This window comes from Homo sapiens, chromosome 14 (assembly GCF_000001405.40).
Source record: "Homo sapiens chromosome 14, GRCh38.p14 Primary Assembly".
Classification (NCBI taxonomy): domain Eukaryota; kingdom Metazoa; phylum Chordata; class Mammalia; order Primates; family Hominidae; genus Homo; species Homo sapiens.
Window position 1 is genome coordinate 66,001,491 of NC_000014.9, and position 15,818 is coordinate 66,017,308.

General features: G+C 41.7%; 1 pseudogene, besides 1 other annotated feature; it reads right to left on the bottom strand.

Moving 5' to 3' along the window:
- YBX1P1 (Y-box binding protein 1 pseudogene 1) lies at nucleotides 10,943-12,438 on the bottom strand (annotated as a pseudogene).
- Nucleotides 12,891-14,090: an enhancer, noted in NCBI's record as "MED14-independent group 3 enhancer chr14:66481099-66482298 (GRCh37/hg19 assembly coordinates)". NCBI's record gives its function as "activates an origin of replication core promoter dependent on BRD2, BRD4, P300/CBP and CDK7 cofactors, and independent of MED14, by STARR-seq in HCT116 cells {active_cell/tissue: HCT116}" and the evidence as "EXISTENCE:reporter gene assay evidence [ECO:0000049][PMID:35650434]".

Consider the following 15,818-nt stretch of genomic DNA (forward strand, 5'->3'; position numbering starts at 1 on the left):
CCAGTTCTAATATGAGTTCCTGGAGTGCTTCTCCTTCAACGTGTTCAGGTTGGCTCTGGGCTCCCAGAGCAGTTTACACAAGCCTTTCTTCTTTCTTGCGTCATAATGTTTAGTTAAATGTATTTGAGAGCATAAACTCTCAAGAGCAGGGACTGTGCAGATTCATAGTAGATATTCAGTTAAGTTTGAATGATTGAGTCTATATCACAATTCAAATTCCAAAGACACAGGGAATTTTTTTCCCCTATGTATATCTTTTTTTTTTTTTTTTTTCCTTTTGAGATGGGTAGTTTGTGCTTAGGCAGCTCCTAATGCTTCTTTTCTTACTTTCCCTATTTTCTAATTTCTCTACCCTTTCCTTTAGCTGTTAATCACTCCCCTCACCTCTTGCCATGATTTTCTCGCTTCCTGGCCATTAAGACAACACTCTTCTCTGGGAGAGCTCCCCATGGTCTCCTTTCTAGAGGGAATGTCAGGAAGACAAAGCAGGGCACACCCCAAGAGGGGAGGGCGGTCCTGCATCAATGGTCTATTTGCAGCCAAACCTAAATGCAAACCATGCTGCCAACGGGGAGGCTGGAATCCACTCAAGTGGAATCAGATCTAGAGACACAGACATGCCTAGAGAAAGGAGAAAGAGACATCAGTGTCAAAACCAGAGGCCTCAAGGCCAGGCCTGGGCGTAGAGGTTTCTCCTCACCTTTTTCACATAGGTGGAGAAGAGAAGGTCATTATGGTATCACTGAAAGACAAGACTGGACATGGGTGGAGAGATGGATGGGAGGAGCGGCAGGGGAACAATACATTGGACATTTTCTAGCCCAAGCACAGGCTGTGTAGTCCAGGAGGCAGTCAAGAGATACTTCTGGGATGGACTGGGTTGACTGGCTGGGGATCTGGTTGTAACTATTAATGATGCCAGGATCCCACTTTTCAGCAGTTGTGATTCTTTGGGTTGCTGAGGCAAATTAAAACGAGACCCAAGCACCATCTTGTGGAATCTTAGGGCGGATTTATGAAGGGAATGGCACCTGTCATACCAAGGGAGCTAGTATGGAAATTTCCCTTGTAGCTTCAGAAAGGACATTGTGTGAACAAAGCTTACAGAATAAGATAGAAAGTCCCCACCTTCATGTTCACAGGCAGTGCAGCTGCCGACTGCTCCATCTCTGCTATGACAGGGAAGGGAGAACCATAGCAGGAGAGATGGGGTGAGTCAGTTACCACTGAGACCCTCATTCTGCTAGCAGAGATGTTTGCCAGGGAGGTCCCCTGATGAGCTCTTGGCATCTCATTACCATTTTCAAATGAGCATGGAGGAATCTGGGCTTTACCAGACATGTTGGTTGTGGGTTTTCCCATATCCAGGAGTGTTGAGTCAGCTCCTTAGTGCCTGGAATTCTACAGACTCTGAATGTCAACTAGGGAAAAGGCGAATGCTCTACCATAAGCAGAGCGCAGCTTGTCACTGGTAATTAAGAGATAAGGTAATTTGAGAGAGAAGGTAATTCACGGTACCAAGGGGCAAAAACACTGCTAATTCTCAGACTCCAAAAGCTTAGGTGGGGAGGCCAGAATCCCCTCCTCTCTACTCAGTTCCTACTAAGGCTGCTGTAGGTGTATGTACCCTACATCATTTTACAAGTGGATAGATGTAAAAATTCATTCCATTCTGAACCCTAAAATCCCAACTCAATATACCTCAGTGCTCAGCTCCCCTGGAGTCTCGAAGACACGGTCAGGTTTCAGCACAATTCTGTGCCCTGGGGCAGGCTTCCGCTGTGTCATCAGGTTCACAAACAAACCAGACACAGTGGTTTTCAAGGGCTTTTCCCACATCCAGTTCTCCTGCTGGAAATTGCTCTTACTGAGCACTAGCTCTGTTCAGAAACATGGCCCTGCTCGATTTCCATGGTTGCCACAAGCTTCCTTATAGAGTTTTCTCCAGAGCAGAAAAGCATTTTCTGCAGGTGATTTTCCCCTTTCTGTTGTAATTCCAAGTCTCTCTTCCACCCCGCCCCCAACTCTTCATTTTCCGGTAACTGCCAAGAAAAACCTCTCTCTGATCCTGCTGTTACCACACCTCATGGAGCCGGCTTTGGCCAGCAATTGTGATGCTCCTGACAGCGTTTCCATTGTCAGCTCTTTTAAATCCCAGCATCTGCAGCCCGTTTTCTCTCTGCGGTATGGTTTTGCTTCCCTGACATGCTGCCTCTGCTAACAACTGCTCCAGTTTCTCTACTGCTGGTGCTGTGGCTTCTCCTGTCTGTCTGGGCCCAGTCACTCCTGGTGGGGGACAGGGGTTGGTTGAACAAGTAGAATAGTGGAATGGGTTCAAGTCACCACCTGTCACTTCCTAGCTGGGATACACTGGGAAGTTAATTCACCTCACTAAACCCCAGTCTCCTTATCTGTAAGAAGAGGGTTGTTGTAAAGGTGGAATGAGATAATCCAGTGCTTAACACAGGGTCCAGCCAGAGTAGATAAATAATCTATTTATATGAGGTAGGGTAGGTTGCCTGAGGGCTAGCATCCCTGCATCCCACATCTGTAAAGGTCAGATAAAACCTCTTAGAAATCAAAACATTAAATCCCAAGAAAACCTTTCTGTTTTCAAGGAATCCTAACAAGTATCTTCTGATATAGTTTGGATATTTGTCCCCACTCAAATCTCATGTTGAATTGTAATCCCCAGTGGAAGTAGGGCCTGCTGGGAGGTGTTTGGATCATGGGGGCAGATCCCCCACGATTTGGTGCTGTTTTCCCCAATAATGAGTTCTTGCAAGATCTGGTCATTTAAAAGGGCGTGGTATCTCCCCCACCTCTCTTGCTCTCTCACTCTCATGCTCTCTCTCTCTCTCTCCCCCTTCCTCTCCCTCCTTTCTCTCTCTCCCTCTTCCTCTCTCTCCCCAACTCCCTTTCTCTCTCCTGCTTTGCCATGTGACATGCCTGCTCCTTCTTTACCTTCTGCCATGATTGTGAGCTTCCTGAGGCCTCCCTAGAAGCCTAGCAGATGCCAGCACCGAGCATCCTGTAAAGACCACAAAAACCATGATCCAGTTAACCCACATGCCCCTTCGCAGTGAATCTCTGCTCTGTCCCTCCACAGATCAGCTACACAGTTCTGATTTCTGAACACCATAGATCACTGCCTGTTTTGGTTTACATCCTCTCTGTGCCTGGCTTCTTTGGCTGAGCAAAGTGCTTTTGAAAGTCATTCATGTTGTTGATGGATCAGTTGTTTGTCCCTTTTTATCTCAGAATATGTTATTGTATAAATATACAGTTGGCCCTTTTTATCTGTGGGTTCCACATTCACGGATTCAACCAACCACGGTAGAAAATATCTGAAAAAAATTACATCTGTATGGAACATATACAGACTTTTTTGGTCGTGATTCCCTAAATGATACAGTATAACCACTATTTATGTAGCATTTATATTAGGTACTGTAAGCATTAGCTATTATAAGTAATCTAGAGATGGTTTAAATTATATGAGAGGATGTGCATAGGTTATATGCAAATATGATGCCACTTTATATCAGGGACTTGGGCATCTGTGGATTTTGGTATCTGCAGGAGGCCCTGGAACAAATCCCTCATGGATACTGAGGTACAACTATATTGCATTTTGCTTATTCATTCTCCTTTTGATAGAGATTTAGGTTGTTACTAATTTAGAGCTATGAATAAATTGCTATGAACACTTTATAGTTCTTTTTGTGGATATATGTTTTAATTTCCCTTATGTAAATACCTAGAAGAAGAATTTCTGGGTCATATAATTGATAGGTGCTTAATTAGAAACTGTCAGCAGTTTTCCAAAGTGATTGAACCATTTTAGATTCCCACCAATAATGTTTGAGAGTTCTAGTTGCTTCATATCTTTGCCATCATTTGGTGGTGTTAGCCTTTTAAATTTTAGCCATTCTGGTGAGTGTGAAGTAGTATCTCATTGGGGTTTTAATTTATATTGCCTTGATAATGAAGGATGTTGGACACACTTTCATGTTGTTATTGAATATCTTCATTTCTGAAGTGTCTATTTGCATCTTTTGTCCATTTATAAAAAACTGGGTTGTCTCTTTATTGTTGAGTTGCAAGAGTTCTTCATGTATTTTGGGCAAAAGCTCATTATCAAACATACGTATTGTGAATATTTTATCCCAATCTATGCTTTGCTTTTAAGTTATCATAATGGTATTTTACATGAACATAAACTTTATATTGAAGTTTTTAATTCTGATGAAATTCATATGGTCGTTGTTTTCTGTATGTAGAAAAGATTTGCTCATCCCAAGTCAAGATGTTCTCCCATGTTTTTTCTTAGCAGCTTTATGATCTGAGTTTTTCTGTTTATGTTAGTGATCCATTTAGGATGGTTTTTATATGTGATGTTGTAGGAAAGAAAAAATATATGTATTGTTAACCCTCATATGTTCTTAGCTGAGACATTCTTCTGAAAACAAAAGTCAGATTAACAAGAGAAAAACCTGCAGAAGTCTATTGACACATGCTGTGCTCGTCATGCAGGACAAGCCTCAGTTCAAAAGTATCCCTGCCAAGGCAGCATCTCAGGAGCCTTGCCTAAACAGTATTTTAACAAACAGTCATAAATTCTGCAGTGACAAGACAAAGGAGAGGACAGTTTCCGTCTTTAAAAGGCAGGAAAATGTGGGAAGTAAAATCTGTTCCCAGATTTATCTGGTGCCTGCTGGTATCTTCTCTGGGCTGATAAGCAAGTGCAGCCTTCAGCAAGGAAGGATTTCCCTTCTGCCATCAGGCAAGTACAGGCTAAGGCAGAGTGTTCCCTCTGTGTTTACAGTGTCTTTAACTTAACAATCCTCCCCATTTTGGGGAGAAATATTTTGGTTTCCTTTAATGTGAAATAGAGGCCAAGACATTCATTTTTCCACATGAAAATCTAGTTGTTGCATTTCCATTTGTTAAAGAAAACTTTGTTTCTCCTCACTGAATAGCTGTGACATATTTTTAAAAAATCAATTGCCTATATAAGTGTGAATTTATCTCTGGACCCTTTAGTGTGTTTTATTGATATATTTATTTATTTATCCTATGCGAATACCACACCTACTTGATTATTGTAACTTTACACTACATTTTGAAATCAAGTTTTATAAAATTCTCTACTCTTGTTTTTTTTTTTTTTTTAGCAAGATTTATCCTTTTCCAGACTTTTGTAATTCCATATAAATTTTAGAATGGGCTTATCAATTTCTAAAAAACAAATGCCTGGTAGAATTTTGACTGAGATTGTGTTGAATGTAGAGATCAATTTGGGGAAAATATGAACATTGTATAACTCTCTGTTTAGGTCTTCTTTAGTTTCTCTCAGCAACGTTTGTTCAGTTTTATACCTGTTTAAGGCAGGAGGGTAAGACCGATACCCATTACTCCATCATGACCATAGCCAGAAACAAATTGCTGATTCTTATACTTTAAACTCTACTCTTGGATTTACCTCTCATAATGGCTTCATCAGTGTCTACAAAAATGCAACCTGCTTGCAAAGGGAGTTTCATTCAGAGAAGTGAGGCTTTCAGGGGCCTTAGAAAACCTTGCTCTACTCAGACAGAAGGTTAGATTCTATTAGTTCAACTTCAATGTTGCAACAACAGTTGCTATGAGCCATGTATCCTAGCTATAGTAAACCGCAGAGTGATCATTTCTCAATGAGAACACTCTATCCAGCCCCAGACAATGTATCCATCCCATTTGGACAAGTATTTTGGTTGGAATCCTGGTGTTTCTCTCTCAATATTTTAGATTCTCAAAGTTTCTCTCTGAATGTGACATACCCAAGTAAACTTTTAAAATATAAATCAGATCATGTCATTCCTAGGATTAAAATTCTCTTATGGTTCCTGTTTGTTATCTATTGCTGTATTACAAACCATCCCCAAACTTAGATGCTTGAAACAGCCAATTATTATTTATCATAATTCTGTGGATCAGCAATATAGATTGGGCTTAGCTGGGCAGTTCTTCCATGTGGTCACTTACTATTTAGTAGTTCAGTTGGGGATTTCTTACATAATGGCAGAAGTGTTTCAAGAGGTGAAGGTAGAAGCTATAGGAACTCTTGAGGCTGAGCCTTTGGAATTAACATATTGCTTTTGACATTCTGAGGTCAAAGCTAGCCACAAGCCTAGTCCAGATGGCAGAGCTGGGAAAATAGAGTCCAGCTCTTGAAGGGAAAAGCTGCAAAATATTGTGCCATTTTTTTTCCATTTCTCACAGCTTTCCATTGTCCTTAGAATAAAGTTTAATAATAAATTTAAAATTAATGATCAAAATTTTGAAATAAAGTTCAAAATGGCCCTACATAGTCTAGCACCTGCCTCTCTATCTGAATTGACCTGTTATCAATCTCTCATTGGCTCACTAAAAATAAACAGTTGCACTCCGTTTGGGACCTTCTTATTTTCTGTTCCCTCTGCTTGGAATGCTCTTCTCTCAGATCTTTGCAAAGTTCAATTCCATTTTGTAATTTAGTCCAAATGTCAGCTCCTCAAAGAGATCTTCTTCCCTGAGCCCTTCTCCCAGTCACTCCTTACCAGCTTACCCTGTTTTGTTTTCATATAGCACTTAACAACATCAGAAATTATTTTATTAATCCACTCATTCATTGCCCATTTTCTTACCAGAATTTGGATACTATGAGAGCATGGTCATCAACTTTTTAGGCCATCTCTGTATCCCCAGTGCCTATAATAGTGCCTGACACTAAGTAGATGCTCTGTAATGATTTGTTGAATCAGTTAACATTGCAGTCTTCATCTTTATAGCTTTTGAAAATCCATATCGTCTTAGAAAATAGGACAAGAGTGGGTGGAAATATGAATCTCTGTATACAAAACTAGGATTAAAAAAACCTGTAGGCTCTTTTCCTGCAATCAGTATGCATTGCCACCAAATGGCAGTAAGTGCCCTGTTGGGCATTCTATCAGGAAAGATTTTTTCCTGAGATTCACATTTTGTTATTTTCCCAAGTCCATGCTAACAAATTTATAATTAATTATTAATTACACAACATACTTTAAAAATTGCTGACTTGAAAGAACAATAAACAATAAAGCTGTTTATTCGTTAAAAATAAACACTTAGAGAAACATTTTGTTAACTCCTTACATATTTGTTACTAATCATCATTAAATCTAAATCCTCCCACATAGCCATATTCTGATTTAAATGTTCTTTCTAATTTGACGTGAAGGCCTCGAGGCTGATGTGGGGAGCTGGACCTTCAGGCTAGATTTATATTGCAAAGCTTTGTGGCTTCTCTCAGCTGTTAGCTCTAGCCTCATTTAGAGCCTGCTGATGACTTAGTTCCTCCTGGGTTTCAACTCCTTTTCCTCAACAGTAGCTCTTTTACTTCTCTTCCCTAAATCAAAATTAGAAACAGAGAGAAAAAACACCTATTTCTTTATTCTGAAAGCATAGGTCTGCCTCAGATTCTTTCTAATACAAAGAAAGCAATTTCTACTTCTCCTTAAATAAGAGCCAAATATCTCCCTTCATTCAGTTTTCTCATTGGGAATTCTTTAAACTACTGATTGTATACAATAGGACTTATCTTAGCGAAACCACAGCAATGGTTTCACAAGAGGCAGCTTATACGAACTGTTTTCATGCTAAGAATTCCTCAGAAACTCTTTTTCTAAAGGAAAAGATAAGCTCTTAAGCAGAAAAATGAAGCAACATTTATACATATCTTCTGATTGGGCATTTCAGCTTTTCTGCACAGCTCTGCTGAAGAATGCCAGCTCCAGAGGGTGGACCTCATGAGTCAGCAGTAGGGATCCAGCTGTGAATCATGTTAAGATCTTAAGATCTCCAGGAACAAATCCTTTCCTTGGCTCACACTTTTTCACCAGGCTTGTCAGGGATGCAATAAATGCTACAGGGATGATCCAGACTCTTGGCATTCCATGGCACAGCTGCTTGATCCAACCTAAAGGATAACTTTTTTCTTCTTTCTGTGAGAATAGCCCATTCATATTTTTTGCATATTGCTAATAAAATCCAATCACCCTTAAATATCTTTTAGAATATAAATGCAATCAATACGTATTAAGCTAATGTTTTTGTGTAGTGAATATTCATTGAATGAATGAAAATTGCCACACATGTAATCCCAGCACTTTGGGAGGCCGAGGTGGGCGGATCACGAGGTCAGGAGATCGAGATCATCCTGGCTAACATGGTGAAATCCGGTCTGTACTAAAAATAGAAAAAAGTTAGCCAGACGTGGTGGTGGGCGCCTATAGTCTGAGCTGCTGGGGAGGCTGAGGCAGGAGAATCGCATGAACCTGGGAGGCAGAGCTTGCAGTGAGCCGAGATCACACCACTGCACTCCAGCATATGTGACAGAGCAAGGCTCCATCTCAAAAAAAAAAAAAAGGAAGAAAATAGCCACACAGAGTTTACAGTCTATAAATGTGTTAATTTACATCAGTGTCTTCTGCTCTTTTTGGGTTACACGACACATATGTTAAAAAAGGTAAACAACCCCCTAAAATATATGTGTATTTGCATAGGTTATTCAGATGTATCAATGTTTTATATATGTGAAAATATACACAAAAATGTAAATTATAAAGGATAAGATAAAAAAGAAACAATGCTTTTTAAGTAATTGTGTTATTAATGATAAAACGTTATTCTCACTAAACCCTTTTTACACATTATTAATATTCGTGAGAACAATGCACTTGTAAATACTTTATGTTTTCAAATCTTGCTTTAGGACTTTGTAGTATACTCATTGGAGGGTCCAGTTCTAAGTTGGGTTTGTTCGCTTGCTTGATTTTAATTTCCATCAGAGGGAAAAAAGATCCTTCATAGATTCATATGGAAGGCATGCACCATTGGTCTCTCTTACTAAATTATAGTATTCACTATTGTCATGCTCAGGGTCAGGTTCCAGCCCATGCTGAAGTTTGAGGGAGTGCGTAGATGAGCAGAAAGAACACTTAGGTGGCCATAGGCGGGTGAAAGATGATTTTATTCAGCAGCAGCTGTCATCAACAGCTTTCTCACTCTGTCCATCCTGTTTCAGCTGCTTAGTCCGGTGGCTCCCACACACACAGCTGCATGGCTGGCTCTCCCTTGCCTTCAGGGTCAGCAGCTTAACTCTTTCTCTGGGCACAAGCGAGCTGAGCTGTGTCCTGGCCTCTGCTCTGTCTGTCTGCAAAGATGGACAGCTCTGATTGTCTCTCTCTTTCTCTGGGTGCCAGTGCACATGTACAGTGTCAGCAGGGCAATTATACCTTTTACAGACAATAGTGACTTAGAGCCAAGAGATGGCTTTCCTCTGTTATGGCTACATGGCTGTGATAACAAGTGGAGTTATACACCTGTGCTCTAAACTCGCTGAGTCACTCTGGATGTTTACCTCGGCCTGTCCTTGACCAAAGCACAGCCATGTTCCTTACAATTATTCAATCTTATTCACCAATTATGCAAAAGTATTTGTGAAAATTCAGCTAACATTTTCTGTATTCTCTGATACCAAATTAGTTTTCTTGCAAAGAAATTAGAAGTTGATGTTTTTACATTTTTAGCAAATGTGTTCAAAGTTCACTATGTAAATGACTTAAATATTAGGAAATTCAGTCTCCAAGATTTTTAGTGTGAAAATATGAAAGTTTTTGTGGGTGGTGCTTTGTCATTTCAACAAAAACTCATCATAATGAAAACATCTGTTTTCACAATGCTCTCAATAGCACAAAGCTTTTGGAAGAGCAGTTACTTTCCCATTCATTGTTAAATTGCCTCTTTTACATAAAGAAATAGATGAGATGTATTTATTTATTTCCTGCTAGATAGAATTCTACCAACAACTATTTGTCATTATTTAAAAGGTCAGAAATTGGAAAATATTGTATTTTTGTGAAAGCAAAATTAGCAGCACATCTTCTTATATGACAGCTCTTTAGGACGTGGACACAAGATGACCAGCAAAGCTCTCTGTGAAAATGCTTTGCATGATCCATACCAAATAACCTGAAGATTTTATTATATTGTCAATGATCTTATTCTTATAAAGTGAATACCAACCCTAACATTTTGTATTTCTTTATGTTGTCACTATTCCAAGTGCAGTTCATGGACCAGCGGTGTCGGCATCGCCTGGGAACTTGTTAGAAATGCAGAATCCCAGGACAGGCCAGCCCTCCTGAATGACAATCTGCATTTTAACAAGATCCCCAGGTGAAACATATGCACTTTCAGGTTTGCGAGTACTGCCCTATGAAATTCTGCCTTCTACTTCTTTGCCACAGTAGCTTGTTAAGGAAAAATGAACTAAATGAATTTCACACATGGGATAACTCTGCAGCCTGACTTTGGAATCCTTTTTTTTCTCCAATCAAACCACCTGCTCCACTGGAGGTAATATTCAGTTTTCAAGATGTCATTTTCTGTGGAAAATATGTCTTCTTTCATGCCTCTTTTTTTTTTTTATTGACTCACGAAGTCAGTTCTTCTACAGTCATTATGGAAACAGAACCTAGCAATACCATTCATTTAGATAACATCTTTTCATCCCCAAGTCTTACAAACCTCCCACTCTTGTTCTAGACGCATTTCTTCTAACCTTCAACAATGTTTTCTATGCATCTTTTAATATCGTTGGCTGACAAAGTAATTCATTTCTGTGTGCAGCCATATTCTTTTCCACATCTGATTTCAGTTATTTTCACAATAGAAGGAAGAACTAGAAAAAAGATGTGTGGCCTTTTGCTTCTTCCAAGTAAGAAGGCTTTAAAGATGCTTCTTTATTGTAGTTTAGTAGCATTTTTAAAAACACTGGATTGGGTACCACATGACCTAGACTATTGCTGAGGCAATTGCAGAAGTTTGTATCTGGGTTCTGAATGCTTAAAGTTTTTTTTTTGTTTTGTTTTGTTTTGTTTTTAAGACCTTTATTAACAGGTGCTTGCAGTTTGTTGACTTTTTTGAAAAAATCAAGTTGTAAACTTTTATTACAAATTAAAAAGGAAGTTCTTAAAAATCTCAACTTGACCAGATATGAAACAATTTAAAAACCTTTAAAGGCGTATTCAGAAAAACCAGGCTTTTTTAAAAAACACGTTTGTTATTACCAAAAAGAGACGTCTTTAGGTAAAAATAATAAAAACCCCATGCTGCATAGATAATGCAGATCTATTTATCTGGTCAACGGGCAAAATGCAAGCATTTAAGGTCTTCAGCTCCAATCTTTTGTTCATTTCTTATTGCTGGAATTTCATTATTTCTTCTTGTTGGATGACTAAACCGGATGATGGTAGAGATGGTAAGCCGGCATTTACTCAAGCCCCGCCCTGCTCAGCCTCGGGAGCGGACGAATTCTCAGCTGGTGGATTGGCTGCTTTTGTCTCTTTGCCATCTTGTGGTTTAGGGTTTTCTGGGCGTCGGCGTCGGTAATTGAAGTTGCGGCGGTACCGACGTTGAGGTGGCTGCTGACCTTGGGTCTCATCTCCTTGATTTTCTTTATCTTCTTCATTGCCGTCCTCTCTAGGCTGTCTTTGGAGAGGAGGGCCTCTGCGGAATCGTGGTCTATATCCCCGATACATATTCTGCCTCACTGGTCTACCTTGTTCTCCTGCACCCTGGTTGTCAGCACCCTCCATCACTTCTCCCTGCACAGGAGGGTTGGAATACTGTGGTCGACGCCCATAGGGTCTCCGCATGTAGTAAGGTGGGAACCTTCGCCTGCGGTAGGGCCGGCGTTGTTGGGCCTGGCCTTCGGGAGCACTCTCCGATCCCTCGTTCTTTTCCCCACTCTCACTATTCTGGTAATTTTGCTGGTAATTGCGTGGAGGACCCCTAGGACGTGGATAGCGTCTATAATGGTTACGGTCTGCTGCATATTTACTGCCTTGAACTGGAACACCACCAGGACCTGTAACATTTGCTGCCTTCGCACCCTTTTCTCCTTCAACAACATCAAACTCCACAGTCTCTCCATCTCCTACACTGCGAAGGTACTTCCTGGGGTTATTCTTCTTCATGGCAGTGTGGTGTACAAATACATCTTCCTTGGTGTCGTTCCTGTGGATGAAACCATATCCGTTCCTTACATTGAACCATTTTACCGTTCCCAAAACCTTCGTTGCGATGACCTTTTTGTGCCCGCCGGCAGGCGCCGCCGATGTGAGGCCGCCCGGGCCACCGCTCCCTGCGCCGCTGCCGGTAGTGCCGGGCTTGGTGTCGGCGGCGCTGAGGGCGGGGGCGGCGGGCGGCTGCTGGGTCTCGGCCTCGCTGCTCATGGTTGCGGTGATGGTGACTGCGGCCGGCTGCGGCAGCTGCGGCTCCTCCCGGGGTGTGACGGTAACTAGGCCGGCGGCGGCGGTGGGGCTGCTCAGGGCTCTCTGGGGTCCGCTCTCCGCTCCCGCTACCGATCGAACTGAATGCTTAAAGTTTTTATGTCCTACCGGTTATGACAACTTCAGGTACAACGTGCACTTGGGACAGTTTAAAGATAGTTAATGATAGTGGATATAAATACGTATTTTAAATAGTAATCGTCTTCATCATTTCAATTTTTTCCCCTTTTAGCTGACTTCTCTGGAGGGATCACATCACCTCACCACTGTGTCACTTTGCAGTGTGGCTGACCAAGAGCTTGTTCTTGTGGTGGGCTGCTCATCAGCCCAGCCATTTCCCTGTTGTTTTTGGTCAGTGGGAGATTAGCAGACATGACACAAGAAGATGCTGCAGATGGGCTTGGGCATTGGAGCTTGTCCTCTTGCACCTATGCCATCACCATGAGGAAAACAAGCCTGGGCAAGTCTACCAATCCCAGGATGAGGCTGAGGGTCCTGTGTAGCAGATGAGCTGACAGCTGCTGGAGTCCCAGGTAAGCTGACCGCTGTGGAGTCCCAGACAGGTGAGTCCAGCCAAGATCAGTGGAGCCCCTTAGCCAACCCTCAGTTGATTCCAGTGGTGGGAGCAACAACATGTATCGGTGTACTTGCCTGGGTCTTTGTGGTTGTTAACTGGCACTAGGTCTGTTCTCCTGTCCTAGGCCAGCAAATCTCCCAACTGCTGTTTCTTTACAGGAAACTTTTAAAGCCATGTGTTAATTTTCTGACAGTTTAGTTAAAATTAGACACTATATTCCATCAATGCCCCTGAGGGGGAATACATCACACTACACTGAATTGAAAGAAGGGGGAGCAACTCATCTAGACCCCTGATTTATGTAAGCTCAAGATCCACAGGTGATAACCATGGACACCTTTGTACACTGAAGGTTTATAATTCGCAGTGCCGTGCTTTGGTGTTTCAGAAGCAGAGAGAGGTGTTTATAGAATGGTTCTGCCTGAAAATAGAGAGGAGGGAGAAGGGCAGGTGATGATAACTTTGGGGAATGTCTGAAGCGTATGGGGAAAGCACTCCCCATCACAGAATCACCATTCTGCTCCTTACCTTTGTGGTTTAGCCCTTGGAAACCTGGCTTCATTGTTCCACAAGCTCATTTCTTGCCCTTCCAAGTGTAATATGGATGTAAGCCAGAGCTGTCTTTTCCTCACTTTTGCAGACACTCCTGTCTCCCCACCCTGCTCTTTAAATTAAACTCTTTCACAGTCCAATAATCTTCTCTCATAAACAAGCTTTGGAGAGAACATTTTTTTTCTTTTGCCCAGGAGCAGATTCCACCAACTTCATGGAGGTGGTGAAGGGCTTTCCCCCTTTCAACAAAAGCAATAAAGCTGACTTTGCTGTCGTTAAGTTTTATAAGGTAATGCTGACCCTATCATGAAGTGTTCTCATCTAGGCTGACTTTGCTCATTAACCACAGTTGAGTGTTAACCTTTCTGGACATAAATAATACGGCAGCACCTTGATCTGCACGAAAGAGGAGTGAATGGCTAGGCCTTTGTCTTTTTCCCTTGGATTCTTACAAACTGCTTTTTCTTCTTGTGTTTGACAAAATGTCAAAGCTGTATTTCTCTTTATCTGTGTTAAGATATCTGTGACCTCATGCTCTCTGCCATTTAACTTTGCAATGTGTGGGTGGACTGACCTGACACTGGGCTCAGCCACATGATTTGCTTTGGCCAGTGGGAGATTAGCAGGCATGACACAAGAAGAGGCGGCAGATGGGCTTGGAAATTGTAGCTTGCTCTATTGCATCTCTGCCATTGCCATGAGAAAAAACAAGTCCAGGCAAGTCTACCCATCCCAGGATGAAGCTGAGGGTCTTGTGGAGATGAGGCTCATCCAGATCAGATGACAGCTGTGGAGTCCTATAGAGTTTAGTACAGCCAAGATCAGTGGAGCCAGTTAGCTGATTGTCAGTTGATTCCAGATGTGAGAGCATCAACACGTATTGGTGTACCTTCCTGGGGTTTTGCGGTTGTTTTTTAACTGGCACCAGGTCTGTCCTCCTGACAGGGTCAGTACCTCTCTCTGCACCCAGGACCCAGGCAAGCCCCCCATCTCACCTTCTCACATATGCCCCTCTAATCATCACCCCTTCTTCCTCCCATCTCATGAAACTTTGCCTCTCTATTGGCTAATTCTCATGAGCATTTGAATCACTTCAAGTCTCTTCTATCATTTAGTTTCTAATAATTTAGTTTCAAAATAATTGCCTTATATCCTGTCATTCTCCTCTGGCACTTATTGCCTCCTCTCCCCATGTCCTTCACATATGGAATCTTGAAAAAGTTGTTCGTACTCTAAATTTCACGTTTTCACCTTCCATTCACTCTGCAACTCACTGCAGCTGTATTTCCTCTTCCATTGTGCCACTGAAACTGCTTTTACCCAGGCCACCAATGATTTGTTTGCCATTGATGATAGTGGACACCTCCAGTAATTCTTTTAAAATTCCTCTTTCATTTTGTATGACCTCTTTGTAACATTTGACTCTGTTGACAAACCATTTGTTCCCAAAGCCTCTCTTCCCATGGCACCTCTGACAACACACTCTCCTAGGTCTTCTACTCCACTGATCCTCAGGCTGCCTCATGGGCTCCTCACCCTCATCCTATCTCTTTGATATTGGTTAGTTCCCTAGGGCTCTGTTCTAGGATCTCTTCTCCCCGTACCAAGGGTAATTTCATCCATACTTCATTGCCTACATTACCAAGAATAAGATGATAACTCCCAAATCTCTAAGTCCTGCCAGTTCCCTGTCCTGGGCTCCAGATACATATATCTAAGAGTTTATTGGATATCCCAAAGGCAAACATGAAATATCTAAAATTTAGTTCACCATTGTTTCCCTTAAACTCCCTCTTCCCCTTTTGTTCACTATCTCAGTAAGTGGTACCATTTCCCACCCAGTGGTATAACCCCAAATCCCTTTAGCTTCTTTCTTTCCTCCTCTTCCACATTCAACCCATGTCTGTGTCCTAATTTTACCTTCCTAGCATATCTTCAGTCTGTTCACTTCTTTCTATCCCATGTCAGGTACCTTAGTTCAGGCCACTCATATCCTTTGGCTTGATTATTTATTGCTTTATCAGACTCCCAACTTGCCTCCCGTGTCCACCTTTCCCTGTTCCAATCCATTTTGCACACTGCAGCCTATACCATCTGATATGGTTTGACTGTGTCTCCACCCATATCTCATCCTGAGTTGTAGTTCCCATCACCCCCATGTGTCATGGGAGGGACCTGGTGGGAGGTAATTGAATCATAGGGATAGTTACCTCCATGCTGTTCTCATGATAGTGAGTTCTCACAAGATCTGATGGTTTTATAAGGCCTTTCCCCCCTTTGGCTTGGGACTTCTCCTCGCTGCCGCCATGTAAAGAAGGACTTGTTTGCTTTCC